Raw genomic sequence first — 15,709 nt, 5'->3', positions numbered from 1 at the left:
CAGAGGCGGTCAGGTCTCTGTTCCACCCTAGCTGCGGGGGTGGAGGCTGGAGGCTATATCTCCATCTCTCTGAGAGGTGAGGGGACTTTCCTTAGGTAGTTGGGGCCAACAATGGTCAGATCTGGGGCAATAATGTTAATGATACTGGGGACCCCTCATGATTATGACTGAAGCACATTTTTCGTGAATACCTTGTTAAATCCTAACCTCAAACCAGTGATGAAGATATTATTTGCCCCTTCTAATGCATGAGAAAGCCGATTCTTAGAGGTTACCTAATGTGGTCTGGGTCACTCGGTCCGTCAGCAGTAGTCCAAGGATAGAAACCCCGTTGGTATCACCCCAAAGCCAAGTCCCTAACCACAATGCTTCCTGTCTTTGGCGTTTGAGCCCAGCTATGCCTAACTCCCAGAAGCAAGTCAGGTCTACTATCCCACATGGTGTCTGGGCTCCCTTCACCCACCTTTTGCAGTTTATAAGGACAAAGGGGAAAAAATTGCAGAACTAAAAATTCTGTTTCCTCAAAGGCAGTATCACTGAGCTGTCGCTGAAGGACACAGGGCCTAATTTCCAACTCCTCTTCCCACCTCCTGATTCTTTCTCTAAAGGGAAAGATTTGGGGCTTATCCAAAGTTTCCAGAAAACCAGTCCCAGGACACAGCCCCTCTGGAGTTTCTGTCCAGTTTGGTAGCACACATTCAACCCCCTCTGCTGCCGCTCATGACTCCCAGACGTGGGCGGAATCCTCCAGTTCCTAAGATGGAAAGAGGGAGACAGCAAGAGCTGGGCACTGCGGTAGCAGCAGGGCCTGGAGTCGCAGAGCCTTCTCGGTCACCATGGCAACTGTTGTAGGCTGGATGGGGTGGGAGCCAGAGAATCCACAGGAGGAAAGGAATGTGGGAGAGGGGCATCCCGGGGTTCCTAGCCCCTGCACTGGGCAGTGACCCTGCCACCCACCTCTGCCCTCAACTCAGCACTGGGACTGGCACTTTGTCAGTGGATAGATAATAGTAGCAAACAACGATGATGATAATGAGTTAACACTTACTGAGTGCTTACTCCGTGCTAAACACAGTGCTACGTGCTACCAGCATCAGATGATAGACCCCGGCTTCCAACCATTATGGAGCTCCACTCTCCATGTAGAATTCAAAGGAAAGAATATTACAAAACGTGTATAAGGAAAGCCAAGAAAAAAATTCCAGTTTTTCCCCATTATGGGTGATAACTGTGTTAATGCAAAATTGCCCCACCCTGGGGAGAACGATGAGGGTGTGATCAGGAGTGTGGAAGGCCTTAGATCCCTAGTTATGGGCCGTGTGTGTAGAGGGTGCTGTTACCTTCTGGACACAAAATTACATGCAATAGTTAAATTCTTCTCCTCTCTCTTCTTGACCTCCTCATTCTCCCTACTCTCCCCCTTAAACTCCTCCTCCTCACCCTCCGACACCCCTTATGGAGGGCTGCTGATCCTGACTTAAGTACAACACTTACGAGACTAAATCTGATTTCCCAGGTTGCATCCTCTCCAGCTTTAGAATTTCATGTTTGGTCTTTGTAGGAGTTGAACTTTGGGAAGGGGCAAAGAAAAAGGAAGTTGCTGATGACTGTATTTGACCATGGTCTTAACGTCTCCCTCAGAAGGGCGTTTTGCTGCAAATCTAGGTTCAGAGATTCTAAGTTGATTCTTCCAGGCTCTACAGCATCACATCTGCTCAAGAACAGCTGTTTAGGCTGCGGCAAGGATCAAAGCCATGTGTAATTCAAAGCTCCAGTGCTCTAAAAATGGCAGACACTGCCTCTCTTTACATATATACACACACATATATATATAAAAAGTCAGGAATATAAATTCTCTGTAGAAATCTATTTTGATGCTTCTGACATCTGAATCCAAAAGCAAAACGTTCAAGTGCTGTTTTAAAATTCACGAGGACACATCCGTAAGTCTCTCCCCCATTCCTTTGGATTTCAGGACTATTTTTGTGAGATTACATAGACCGTGCAGATATCAAAGGATCAGATGCATGAGAGGAGGCTTGATTTTCTATATAGAGCATGTTGGTCAATTATAGTTCTATAGAAAAAAGTAAAACCCTTTCTTCTTGGTGGGATTTTTCTTTGCATCTAAAAAACATATATCTGAGATATACAGAGATATACATGTCTCTATATATACACATAGACATATAGATACACATATAGAGAACCTGTCTGTACCAGAAATAAAAAATTAGCTGAGTGTGGTTATGCTCATCTGTGGTCCCAGCTACTCAGGAAGCTAAGGTGGGAGGATCACTTAAGCCCAGGAGGTCAAAGCTGCAGTGAGCCATGATGGTACCACTGCACTCCAGTCTGGGTGACAAAGTGAGACCCTGTCTCAAAAATAAAATAAAATAAAATAAAATCTATCCCTCCAACCACTTACCTATCTATCTCTTCATTATTTAGCAAGCTGGATAGCCTTCCTCGGAACCCATGTGATTTTGGTTAGTTGGGCCTCATCTTAGTCCCTTGAGAATTTGGGGATGGCATAGCTACAACACAGATTAGCTGTCACACTATTCATTGGTGAGTTTTTAACCAACGCAGGGGAATAAATGAAATTTTAATCAAATTTCCCTTTTAGGTTGGACATTTCTAAGGGGTGAGGTGAAACAGGCAGGACCTGCGTGCCTGGATTTGAATCCTGGCTTTGCAGATTAGTTAACGTTTTTGAACCTTGGTCGCCTTAAAATGAGATACTGTATAATGACAGTATCTATGACATAGGCTTGTGGGGAGGTAGAAAGGAGATCCCTATATCAAATGCCTAGCACTTGGAAAGCACTCCACCAATGTTGTAGTTATTATTAATATTTTGAGATGGAGTCTTGCTCTGTTACCCAGGCTGGAGTGCAGTGGTGCGATCTCAGCTCACTGTAACCTCCACCTCCTGGGTTCAAGAGATTCTCCTGCCTCAGCCTCCTGAGTAGCTGGGATTACAGGCGTGCGCCACCATGCCTGGCTAATTTTTGCATTTTTAGTAGACATGGGGTTTCACCATGTTGATCAGGCTGGTCTCGAACTCCTGATCTCGTGATCTGCCCACCTTGGCCTCTCAAAGTGCTGGGATTACAGGCATGAGCCACCGCCCCCGGCCTTATTATTATTATTCTCACTCCTAAAATTGTGTTTCTGGAATTCTTGGGTTTACAATACTAGAGAAAAGGGCCCTCCTTTTTCTTTGTTTCCTACTCCAAACTGATGTGTCTCTCTTGGTGGTTGGATCAAAGAGAAAGAATATGTACTAAGAAGTCTGTACTGTACTTCCTTAAAGTGAATAGAAATGTCATTTCAACTACCTTGTCCCTACTCCTAAAATATATACCCAGTTCTGGCCTCTGAGCCATACTCATGGGCTTAATGGAAGCCAGTAAGGCAGACAAGAACTGCAGAGGTGGGCCTGAGCCACCTGAGCTTGACAGAGCTCAAGGACTTCCCTCTGGCCTCCTTATCTGCCTCCCTACTAACTAATTACATGACCTCGAGCACCTGTCTTAGCTGAGAGTCAGTTTTTAAGAGAGGAAGTGGCCACATTTTAGGACTCACAATCAAAACTCACATTTGCTCTTACAAAGTTTATTTTTATTTTTTATTTTTAAAATTAGAGGCAGGGTCTTGCCATGCTGCCCAAACTCGTCTTGAACTCCTGGCCTCAAGTGATCCTCCCACCTTCCAAAGTGCTGGGATTACAGGCATGAGCCATTGTTCCCAGCCATTGTACAACTTTTGAGTTTTTTTGGTTTTATTTTGTGGTGTTTTTGTTTTATCCCCCAAGATGGTCTCACTTTGTTGCTCAGGCTGGAGTGCCATAGTGAGATCGTGGCTCACTGCAGCCTCCACCTGCTGGGCTCAAGCGATCCTCCATCTCAGCAGCCCCCTTCCCCCGCAGCAGCTGGAACGACAGGCACACACCACCATGCCCAGCTAAGTTTTTGTTGTTGTTGTTGTTGTTGTTGAGACGGGGTTTTGCCATGTTGCCCAGGCTGGTCTTGAACTCCTGGGTTCAATTGATCCTCAGCCTAGGTCTCCCGGAGTGCTGGGATAACAGGCGTGAGCCACCGTGCCCACCCATCTTACAACTTTTGTTTTATCATCCTATCTCTATAGTTTCAAATATGACAGTTACACCCAGATTAGGTTTAGGAATGAAACTTTTCTTTTAAAAACAAAATAAAACTTGAATAAAAAGCCCTGATCCTGTTCATTGCTAATCCAGCGGCAAGAAGGTTTAAAGGAGAAGATTTGAGATTAGTAGATGAGAATTGGGACCTAGGCACATCCCAGCCTTGGCCAAATCACCCACCTTCTCCATGAGACAGTTCTATGATCTGTTCAATACCTCATGGAAGTGTTATCCTTGCTAATGTATGTAAGGGCCTGATATATAACAGGGGATCAGCATTTACTAGTTTCTTCTGAACCAAATCATTCCGTCATTGAAGTCAGCAGTGCTGAGAGTCATCTGATGGATGTGACTATTCCACATTCCCACCCTCACCCCACCCCACCCTCACCCCACCCTCACCCCACCCCACCCCACCCCAACCCTCACCCTCACCCCACCCCACCCTCACCCCACCCCACCCTCACCCCACCCCACCCCAACCCTCACCCTCACCCCACCCTCACCCTCACCCCACCCCACCGTCACCCTCACCCCACCCCACCCTCACCCACCCTACCCCACCCAGCACGCTGTTGGAATCAAACCTTCTGTCACCAAACACTCAAGGACCCACAGCACTTTTCCCTCAAACATGAAAGGGGAATTGTGCCTTTGAAGCGGCGTTGTGGTCTGGGGTAAGTACCCGAGGTTCGTCGTCTCGTGCCAGGGAAATCAACAACGCGGACATACAAGAAGTGAGTTTAACCCTGGAGGTTCAATAAGCAAAAGAAAGAGAATAGCTCTCTCTCTTAGGAGAGAGAGGGGCTCCCGGGTGGGACTTCCGGCTCCACAATGAAATGCATGGGATTTTATAGATGAGCTTGAGGAGGCGTGTCTGATTCACGTAGGGCCAGAGAGATTGGTCGGACCAGGCGTGACACTTGCATCACGCACAAAGAAGCTGGCCATCCCACCCTAATCTTTTATTATGCAGATGGGGGTCTCTACCTGGCCAACGCCATGTTGCCTGCCTTTCTACTGCACACATAGCGACAAAGAAAAGGAAGAGGGAGCCTCCATGTTGAACATGCCTGGCCCCCAGCTAGCCTTTTCCTGTTGGCACAGCTGCCGGCATTTACCTATGCAGGCTTCCAGCTTGCTTATTTATGTCTGCAGCTCGATTTTACAGGCTGCTCTTTGTTAGAAAAGAAATGATTTGGGGGCTGCTTTTTGTTAAAAGGGAAGCCTGAGGACTCTCTTACCCTCGCTAACCGCCTAAATAATTTCCTTTTAGCTCCTGTATCACCTTCATTCCTCCAAATAAGGAAGCGCCAGGTCTTTCTTGGATCCTAGCTAAAACATTCTTTGCAGCTTCACATAATTATTTTACCACCACCCCTCCCGGTTCTCTTCCTGGGTAACTGATTTCACGAGTTTAAAATGCCCTGCTGCCTTTGGTGGGTTCTGGGGAGTCACTCCTAGGTCTCACAGGGAGGTGGGAGAAGAGTTGAAAATAATCTCTTTAAAATGGTGACATTTGCTTGATCACATTGACATTTTTAGGGTATCAAAGCCGGGCTTCCTGAAATAGAACTCCGATGAAAAGGATAAAGAAAGCTCAAGCTTAGCTGCTGGCATTTGCGTGCACTGATTCACCACCTCCAGCCCAGCTACCCACAGGCAGTTTTTCCCTGACACTGAATCAAATTACACGCAATACTAAAGGCTGGAGGTTTGCTCACATTCTGATTTGGGATGCTGCTGTTCATTTTTAACTTCCCTGAGACAATGTGTACTTTTCCAACTCTGGTCACCACGCTGAATCACAATAAGACACTTTTTCCAGACAGCCAACAATGACACCCAGCTTGACTAGAGAAAGATGATAACCCAAAATATCCTGAGAAGACTCAAGGCACGGCAAAATAAAATGTTCTCTAATGAGGACGACTGAATTGGTATTGCTAGGTAAGAGTTCCTAGTGGGGCGCAAATGTTCATTTTCTAAATTCTTAGAATTTATTCAAAGCCAGTGGCGCCTATTCTCAAGAGAATCAGCGGGTGAGGGGTGCTGAGGGAAGTTTGCAAAAGAAAATTTTGAAGGAGGATATAGGAATGATGAGAAAGGGAGACAGCATATCATAGAATGGCAGATTCAAAGCACTAGCTGCTTGTCTCAAGTGGCATTTGAGGCACTCATGAGAAACAAGGGCTGGTCTGAGACAGTGAAAAGCATAATCAAAATAGCTTTATTGTGCAAAGTAACTTCTCTTTTTCTTTCTTCTGGGATGGTAGTAGAGGGAAGACGAATTAGGAGGATGCACTGGAACTAGGACAGGGCTTAGAAGCTACGTAAGTACCTAGAACTCCAGTAAAGTAGGTGTGGGCAATGAAAGCAGCTCTGAAAGTGGCTCACAAGTGGCAGGGCCAAGCACCCTTCCAGAACACATGTATGGATGCCAAAAAACAAAGTGGGGTTTCAAAGCTTCTTGAAACATACTAAAATGTTACAGTGGTATAGCCCAAAGTATGTTCCATGTGTTACCTGTAAACAGAATCTGTAGTCAGAGAAATTGGAGTGAGAGGGACACTTTCAACAAAGTAAATAGGTTTCTGGCTGGGCACGGTGGCTCACGCCTGTAATCCCAGCACTTTGGGAGGCCAAGGCGGGCGGATCACCTGAGGTCAGGAGTTCGAGACCAGCCTGACCAACATGGAGAAACCCCATCTCTACTAAAAATACAAAATTAGTTGGGCATGGTGGTGCATGCCTGTAATCCCAGCTACTTTGGAGGCTGAGGTAGGAGAATGGCTTGAACACGGGAGGCAGGGGTTGCAGTGAGCTGAGAGCACACCATTGCACTCACTCCAGCCTGGGCAACAAGAGCAAAACTCCATCTCAAAAAAATAAATAAATAAAATAAAATAAAATAAAATAAAATAAAAAAGATTTCTTCATTGTAGAATTTCTTGAAGTCTTAATAAGCTAATGTGCAAATGTGCATTATTTTGACTTTGCAAGAAACAAGGTGACCCATTTTCTAAGTGTATTTAATGGTAAAACTTTATTTTTTTTTGTCTTTTTCTTGTGGAAAGGACTATCCTAGTCCTCTGAAGATCACAGTCTGAAATATTAGAGTTTTGTCTTGTTTATTATTCGGTTATTACACATTTCAGAAAATAATTACTCCTTAAAAATTTCTAACTCACTGACACCTTCAGTATTCTTCAATTTTTAAAATCAGAGATTACTTTCCCCATGACTTTTGATCAAACTATTTCCCAAACTTAAAAAAAAAAAAAAATCCCTAGAAAAAGTACTTACTTTCTGATCTAGCTGTGGACACAAACACCCATTACCAAAAGGGGTTATGAAATGACTTGATTGTTAAGAGTGTGGTAGAGAATTTCCACTGTTTATTCATCTGGTTAGACAGTAAAAACAAAAGATAAAAATAAAAAGAATTTTCCTCGTTGGGTAGGTTTAGGCAATCAGTGAATGAAGAAATATAGCCCAGGAAGCCTCTTACACCCTTTCCAGACACACCATTCTGTGATTTAAAACACCCAAAGCAATGCACCTATGTAATTTCAAGATAGAGTTGTTATATCACATATCATTGATATCTCACTTACCTGAAATAAACATTTCCTAAAATAAACTAAATATGCTTGGGCTATCTTTTTTTTCTTTTCTTAAAATAGTGAAACCATCCCAGAATGCCTAGGAATATTATAGACTTGATAACCAAATGCCACCCACATCTCCAGTGTCCCATCCCTGGGGTTTCCTCAAGGCCCTTCATTGAATGCTCAACGTAAGGTTTGGGAATTGCCAGATGAGAGAAAGGGGAAGCTGTCCAGCCTGCCCTTACCCTCAGTAATCTCTATAGTTAGAAGAGCTGCCTGTTGGGAAAGACAACTTAGACGCAAAAGATCTCATAGTCCATTTCTCTCAGGACAAGAACCTCTTCTAGTCTTGAGAATACTATACTCAAGAAAGAACAGATATTAAATCTGACAAAACAGGATATTCTCAGTGTTATATTTTGTTATAATAAATCCTTATGTTAAAAGTTTGAGAATGCAGTTTAAAATATAAATACTAACACATTACAGCACTTGGTAGTCCACATGATTAATGGATCAAATCAAAGATAATATTTTCAATTGACATGCCATAGAGATTATAATCCCACACACCGTATCCTATGACATTAAGGTCTATGGAGGAACTGGGAATTGGAAGTCAAAAGAGACTTGTTTTCAAGCCCTTTGGTAGTGTGGCCACAAATCAAGACTATTCATTGACAAAGACTCAAAACTGAACCTCCCAGATACGGACTTTCATTATTAACTAAACATTGGGTTTTTCACTTTTGTTGGGCATTTGGCCTTCAACTGATAACTGAATGCTTAGATCCTGGGCTTACTCCCTGTATACATATTGAAGGCTACAAATAAAAAGAACTCTGCAGGGCAGGCAGCAGGTGAACTAACAGTACAGGCCAAAGACACAACCACCCACCGACGCTTATAGGCTTACATAAGAATGCACACTGGCCACAGTACTTATATGACTGAAGATTTTTTCCTATTGGTTTGTGCTGCATTAGCTGAACAGTATATTCCTAATATTTTAAAATGTTACATTCCCAGTCAAGAAAGCATCATCTACTTGTGTTAAAAAGAAATAAGTATATTAAAAGAAATCTGAGTTAAAAGTTTTATTCATTCAACATCTCACATTACAAATATTTAAAAATTATATGCATACTGGTATAAATAGTCATTTGCAAACTATTTAATAACATTAATTTTTCACTAGCACTTCAACAAATGAACTCTTTTAAAAAAGGAACTGTGTTATATAACTTAAGAGTAGAACATACAAAAATAGGAACTTAACGTGAAAATGACTTTAATAAAAAATGAATTACCCTTATTTAAAATGCTATAATAAATACTACAACCTCCCCATACACAGTAAAAACTATATGGAAATTCAGCCAAGTAGTACAATTAACTGACATACTTAAATAACTTTTCCTTCTGATAATATGAGCAATACACTGGAAAAAAAATTAGGGATTAGTAAAAACTAGACACCCACTTGCTAAAAGTTTCACTTCCAAAAAATATAACAAAAATCTGATGAAAATTATAAAAACTAATTATACTTTAAATTTTAAAAATATAAAAAATAAAACAGTTGAATACAATATTGTCCCGATTCTTACAATGCTATCAATCACAGTAGCTTTAAAATAATAAAATAAAGCAAATGACCAAAACCTCTTTTATTCCATTTTTAAAAATAATCTCAAATTTACATTAGTAGAAAGATTGATTTCTGATTCTTTTCTTTAGAAACACCAGCAAGAAAGAGGATTACTCTTAACAGTAGAAAATGACATTTTTAAATGTCTGCAATTAAAAACAAAGAATTACACTGCAAAGATCTTTCAAAAGTTTGAAATAAGTATTGCACATAACTTGAAGTTAACTTGCCACAATTCATCACATTCAAGTTTTAAATCACCTTTTAACAGAAGATTCAACTCTTCAAAACAAAAGGGGTGAATTATCAAGTCTTTCCAACAGCACTCTCATAAAATGCTAAATTCATTCACTGCAAGTTTTATTTTGCATTCTGCAGAGGTCTGTGTATGGAGAAGTATATATATTATACCAAAGCGCAGGGACCAGAAGGGGAAAGGAGAGGGTTCCTTTACATAGAAAATAATCAGAAACACTTTATTTTACATTGCAAAAATCACCATGTAATTACTCTGTAACTACATTGTAAGTACATGGCTGGCGCCATGCTAGTGCGCTAGAACTACATGCTTGGTGAATTGAAGTGATGCCCTACAATCTGTAAACTAATTACATGTTAATTATGTTTGAGTTACATGGTAACTCCCAACTACAATCCCATGTAATCTGAAGAACATGTAATCATAAAGTTCAGAGTAATAGATAATCATTGTTTATGCCCTGTAAATTGAAGTGTAACCAATAATCTGTAAACACACTTGTCACACAATCACAAGTAAATATTAGTAGAATAACAATTTCTTACATTAGTCATGCACACTAACATTACACACCTGTCCCAAGGCAGGCTATTTTTTTTCCTTATATATAATTTAAAAGAGCAGACATCTCTGAATCAAACACTTAACATCAATTTATTAATATTAAAAATGGCTAAACATTCACCAAAAATGTCTGCATTTTATGAATAATTTTAAAAACTTAGTAAGAAGCTGTAGACAATTTTGTTATTTTAATTTCTACCTTATGCTTATGCATTTAATTTTTTTTTTAGGAACTACAGTGTTATCTGTCATTTTCATGCGAATTTTTTTCATTAATTTGTGACTTTACATAGACTATTTCTTAAATTATAGGTACACCAATAGCTGGTGCTGGGGAAGGATGTTTAAGCAACATGCTTTCTCTTCTCTGCAGACTCTAAAATAGCATTGCCAGTGCACGACATTCATAATTTAAAATGTATGCAGAGCACTGAAATGTATAAAAAGCAGAATATAAGAAAATAAAATTTATTAAAATTATTTATATTAAAAAATGAAGTATATGAAGATCTCTCAGTAATAAAAGTACAAAAAGCTACTCTTTGCAATATGAAAAATTGAGGTATTGCATAAAGAGATATCCCGTCAGTGAAAAGTGTGCCTAAAAATGTTCACTGTTGGAAAAACAAGATATACAAAAGTAGTGCATAACAAATATACATTATGTGCATGACAAAATAAGTTAGCTACAAAAACACTGTACCGAAATTCAGCAGGTCATGTACAAAGGGAAAAATTATTATTCAAAGCTAGTTCTCAAACAGTGTTATTTCTTGTTAACTCATCACACCTGTTTACTGAGTAGGAACAGCACGATAGCACACCCCAAGCCACCTACAAGCATTTAAAAGAGTAAAAAGAGGCAAATGAACATTCCAATTAGAATCATGTAGTTCAGGAGAAAAGAAAAAAAAGTCCCTGACCAGCTACACAAGAGCACCCTCCATTCGCATGACTGCTTTCAGTATTTGCAGGGAATTCTTTAAAAGCAGCTCCCTTTCTATGTTTGAATATTAGACAGCAAATGCCTCCATTTTGACCTTTGGAACTTAACAGGTATAGTTCATTAAAGCCTGTATTAAAAGTAAAGGGCTGCTTTTCCTAAAGATCATCCATAGGGGTCATAAGCCAGGTGGTTCCACAGCAGTGCTGGGGCAAGTCTTTGGTTTTGAAGGATCCAAGATGGTACTGTTAGGTAGCGCAACTAGCAAGATTGCCATTCGATCATATTATTTCATGTTTTGCCCACTGATAATAAACCTTTTAATGATGGATAGGGCATTTAATAAGAGAATGTCAATTAAAATAAAAGTTACTTCCATGACTAGGGCTTCAAGAGACTATTTTAAATTTACCCCTGAAGCATACTGTTCAACACATAACGCCTTTCAAAGCTAGAATTTTATTTATAATAAAGCATGCATTACTTGATGAAGTTGGCACTTCAAACACTGACTATGTCCCATGCTAAATTCGGAAACTGTAATGTTATTTTAGTTTATAGGAAGAGTAAGATAAACATACGTACCTTTGCACAGATTTACACAGTTACTTAGTTCAACAGTGCAAAACACTTTGCAACTACTTCACTTTTTTTAACTGTTTTTTCATTTTCTATGTTACAACTAAATTACAGGATACCCAAAGTAACTTTAAATCTAAAAGTAAGCCAATCAGCAGCCAAATTATATATTGGTTTTGTCTTCCAGTTTTGGCTACAAGTGTACTGTAACACAAAATCAAAAATGATATCCTTGAGGTATCTCTAGATCTGTTGTTGTTTTTTAACGTCAAAATGGAGAGCAAAGGCTGACATCTGATGAGTATTAGTAAATTAGGATATAGAGTTTATATATAAACATCAAAAATAACATTTATACATTTATTCTTCAGGAGAGGAAATGCTAGGTTTCCCACCAGTTGTCATTAATTCTAGCTTTGGTAGGTTTCCTGGGGCTTTGACCAGATAAGTAAGTTAAATAAATAAGTGCACTCCCCTCAGTAGTAAATTTACCCAATTTTTACATTCTGAATTTTAAAAATTGTTTAAGAGAAAATAAACCTAGCTCTGCCTACTTTACTATTTTTTTTTTATTTTTTCTGATGTGGTGGTAACTTTTTGAGGGATAATGAAATTATGTTCAGCCTCAAAACCCTGAAAATTAATTATAATGCTGCTCAGTCTTGCTTATGCATTTGTTTGCTCTAACATGCTCTTTCCATTAAAAATTGTTAACTTCCTCCATTGCTGTTAAAAAAATTAAAAAGGGATGGAAAAAAGAGAGAGACAAAAAAGATGAAAAAAAAAAAAAAAAGAAAGGAAAAGGCAAAAGCACTTCCCTGGGGGAAAAACTGTCAGATAGACCGATAGTGTTATTGTTGCATGGTTATTTTAATAAAAGTATTCTTATATGTTATATTATTAACAATAATTTAATTAAAAACCCAAAATACTCTATTGTTTCATTTCTCTTTTAATATTTCTCTCTCTCCTCTAAGAAAATGTTGCAGGAAGTTTGGATCCTCTTGGTTTCCAGCAAAACAAGAGAATAAAACTTCCATGCAACCCGATGGCAATACGAAAAAGGAGTTCATATTGTTTGCAGTGACACAAGAATCTACAAAACACCTATATTATAGGTCATTCTTTTCATTATACTATAGTTAAGTTACAGACTGCTACAAAAGGACATGCCAGCGTGAAGAGGTTGAGGAAGGGGTCAGAATGAACAGAAGAGTGCACTTATTCTGAGGCCTGAAAATGAGCACTGCAGTTATCCTTTAGTTCCAGCGGAATGAAATATGCCGAGGGCGGTCACCGCCTTCCTTCACCAGGGGCTTGTGGAATTCCCTGCCAGCACGAGAATGGATAGCAGCCCAGCAATATTCACAGTAATACTGCAGACAGGTAACATTAGCACAGAAAAATGGAGCAAATTTCCCCCCACAACGGGCCCCCTGACATTCATCACACAGCTGATCATCCAAGACATATGGCTTAACTTCCACCTGCAATCAAAAATAAGAGTTTACATTTTTCAGTGACTAGGCCAGCAATGCTTACCATACATGTACATTTCCACCCACTATCTGAATGAATCTGTTCCAAGGTGCCCAAAGAGGAAGGACTAATTATTCATTTACTGAAATATGGATAGTTCATCTTTTAAGAACCTAGTAAGGCTTTTATTATCTATCATTTTACATTTTTTTCTTATTAAATAAACATCCTTTAAAGGAAAAAGGATTTGAGCAGACATCATGAAGTGAAGCCAACTGTTTAGACTAGAATGTTATGAGATTAAACCCACAGGAGATTATTCATAGACATAAACCCTCATTTTAATTAGTGGATCTGGATTTTTGTCATATGTGGAATCATAATTTAAACAAAATCAACTAAGATGATCCAAGTTCCACACAACTGCACTTCAATATTCAAGTTGGTGTGAAGATGCCTGACTACTGCGTCACAAGATTCTGAGCTGTCGTAAAAAGCCTGGCTCGTGGTTTCTATTTATAGTGTACACATGTTGGGTTATAATCACAAACCTGGAACTCTGTTAAAAAAAAAAAAAAAGATGCAGCCATAGGATTCACAGTCTAAAACCCTGCTTTGTTCTTTCTCAGTAAGAATGGTTCACCTGAGTCTAAAAGTCAGAGGTGAATTTCTAAAACTGGGCCTGTTCCAGCGTTCTATCGGCCAACCTGTCATGTGAACCTTTCAAGCATTAACAGTCACCTGGTTATTAATTCATCAGCTAGAAAAGAGCTGGTTATTTTTAGTCTGGAGAGATTCATGGCTGAAACTCCCTTACAGCAGGCTGTCACCAGCACTGGTGCCACCCAGCTCTGACAAGGAATCCTGACCAAGATTAGCCATGAACAAAAGGAGAAGAACATGCAGTGAGTCATGATTGTGATTCTGTGCTCCAGCCTGGGTGACAGAGTGAGACCCTCCCTCTAAAAAAAATTTTTTAACTAAAAAAATAAAAGTACAAAAGGAGAAGAAGAGTGTCACGAAGCCCAGGAAGAGCAGGCATAAGGAGAGCACTGGGCTTCTGGCCTCTAGGCTGCTCCATAATGTCTACAGAGTGACATGAACACTGGGCAAAGGATTTCATTGCAGAGGAACACAAATTCAGTCTGAATTTCTAATGACCAATCCCACAGCTCTGAAACTTATGTTGGAATAAGGCAGTGAGATGTAGGTATTTTTTAGTGTGCATAAAAAACCAAGTAGGCCAGGCATGGTGGGTGGCTCATGCCTGTAATCCCAGCACTTTGAGGGGGTGAGGCAGGTGGATCCCTTGAGGTCAGGAGTTTGAAACTGGCCTGACCAACACGGTGAAACCCTGTCTCCACTAAAAATACAAACATTTGTTGGGCATGGTGGTATATGCCTGTAATTCCACCTACTCGGGAGGCTAAGGCAGGAGAATCACTTGAACCCGGGAGGCAGAGGTTGGAGTGAGCTGAGACTGTACCACTGCACTCCAGCCTGGGTGACGGAGAGAGACTCCATCTCAAACAAACAAAGTAGGCATGTTAACATACTAATCTTGTCCCTCCCCCATGCTTAGAATAGAACAGATACTTTTCTCTTTAATAGATTCACAGTTTGTAGGATGACCACCACTATCTTAAATTTTTTTACTGCCAGTGAAGTAGACTGTACATGACATGAAACATAAAAAGCAAAAACTGCTACTGACTTGATGATTTTTACATCTTGAATTGAGAACAACACGATAAAATCAATCTATTTTAGCACAATGCCTCAGAGTGATGGATATCAAAGTCAGCATGCATGAAAGTGCCAGTGTGCCATGAAATAAAAAGGTGACCCCAAAATATAAATCAATATATTGCTTCCCTCATCAATAAAGGCTTTCTATGAAAAAAAAATCGCCAGCTGGACCAAACATTGTGCCCAGTAATGTGGTTGATTACACATTCTGGTCTAAATTCCTATCTCACTACAAACTAAGTTTACAGACTGGAGGTCAGTCCACAGGCCACACTCTGAGTAGTACTGGCAAGTGATACAGTTCTATCTGCTAGGAAATAAACTCATGAGGACAGGAACTTCTTGCCCTAAGCACTAAAACGTTTGTTGAATACATGAAACACCAAGCTAAGGAATAAATCGGTGAGAGGTGGCGGCTGTGGAAAAAGAAAAAAAAAAAAAAGAAATCTGTGAGTACAATTCATTGAGAAATAGGGCTTGCTGAGGTCTTCCCTATGTCCCAGGATTAAAAAACAAACAAAAAAAAGGGCAGGAAACCTCAAGGGCATTCCTGTTTGTATACTTGATATAACACAGAACAAAGGATTCAGTAAATATTTATTGAATGACTTACAAACTAAGTGAATGAATGGACGGATGGATTGAGATTGAATGGAAGTTAGAGAAGATTAAATTAACTCAAGTAAATTGTAGTGTTCTGATTAGG

The 15,709-nt window shown here is 40.0% G+C and overlaps 1 protein-coding gene across 5 annotated transcripts in view, besides 3 other annotated features; it reads right to left on the bottom strand.

The window, feature by feature from the left end:
* Nucleotides 665-1,328: an enhancer, noted in NCBI's record as "H3K4me1 hESC enhancer chr5:173394847-173395510 (GRCh37/hg19 assembly coordinates)". NCBI's record gives its function as "activates a minimal SCP1, AML or CMV promoter by ChIP-STARR-seq in primed H9 embryonic stem cells {active_cell/tissue: H9 hESC(primed)}" and the evidence as "EXISTENCE:reporter gene assay evidence [ECO:0000049][PMID:30033119]".
* Nucleotides 4,536-5,735: an enhancer, noted in NCBI's record as "CDK7 strongly-dependent group 2 enhancer chr5:173390440-173391639 (GRCh37/hg19 assembly coordinates)". NCBI's record gives its function as "activates an origin of replication core promoter dependent on BRD2, BRD4, P300/CBP, MED14 and CDK7 cofactors, with strong dependence on CDK7, by STARR-seq in HCT116 cells {active_cell/tissue: HCT116}" and the evidence as "EXISTENCE:reporter gene assay evidence [ECO:0000049][PMID:35650434]".
* Nucleotides 4,759-5,641: an enhancer, noted in NCBI's record as "H3K27ac-H3K4me1 hESC enhancer chr5:173390534-173391416 (GRCh37/hg19 assembly coordinates)". NCBI's record gives its function as "activates a minimal SCP1, AML or CMV promoter by ChIP-STARR-seq in naive H9 embryonic stem cells {active_cell/tissue: H9 hESC(naive)}" and the evidence as "EXISTENCE:reporter gene assay evidence [ECO:0000049][PMID:30033119]".
* The window catches only part of CPEB4 (cytoplasmic polyadenylation element binding protein 4), a 73,632-nt gene continuing 65,114 nt past the window's right edge, over nt 7,192-15,709 (bottom strand). For all 5 annotated transcript variants that reach the window (NM_030627.4, NM_001308189.2, NM_001308191.2 and 2 more), the window contains one exon: nt 7,192-13,262. In NM_030627.4, the coding sequence (NP_085130.2) occupies nt 13,035-13,262 (228 nt within the window). In that variant the 3' untranslated portion in view covers nt 7,192-13,034. The remainder of the gene's footprint in view (nt 13,263-15,709) is intronic.

The sequence above is a fragment of the Homo sapiens genome, chromosome 5 (genome assembly GCF_000001405.40).
Source record: "Homo sapiens chromosome 5, GRCh38.p14 Primary Assembly".
In the NCBI taxonomy this organism is placed as follows: Eukaryota; Metazoa; Chordata; class Mammalia; order Primates; family Hominidae; genus Homo; species Homo sapiens.
This window is presented reverse-complemented; position numbering and strand designations above follow the sequence as displayed.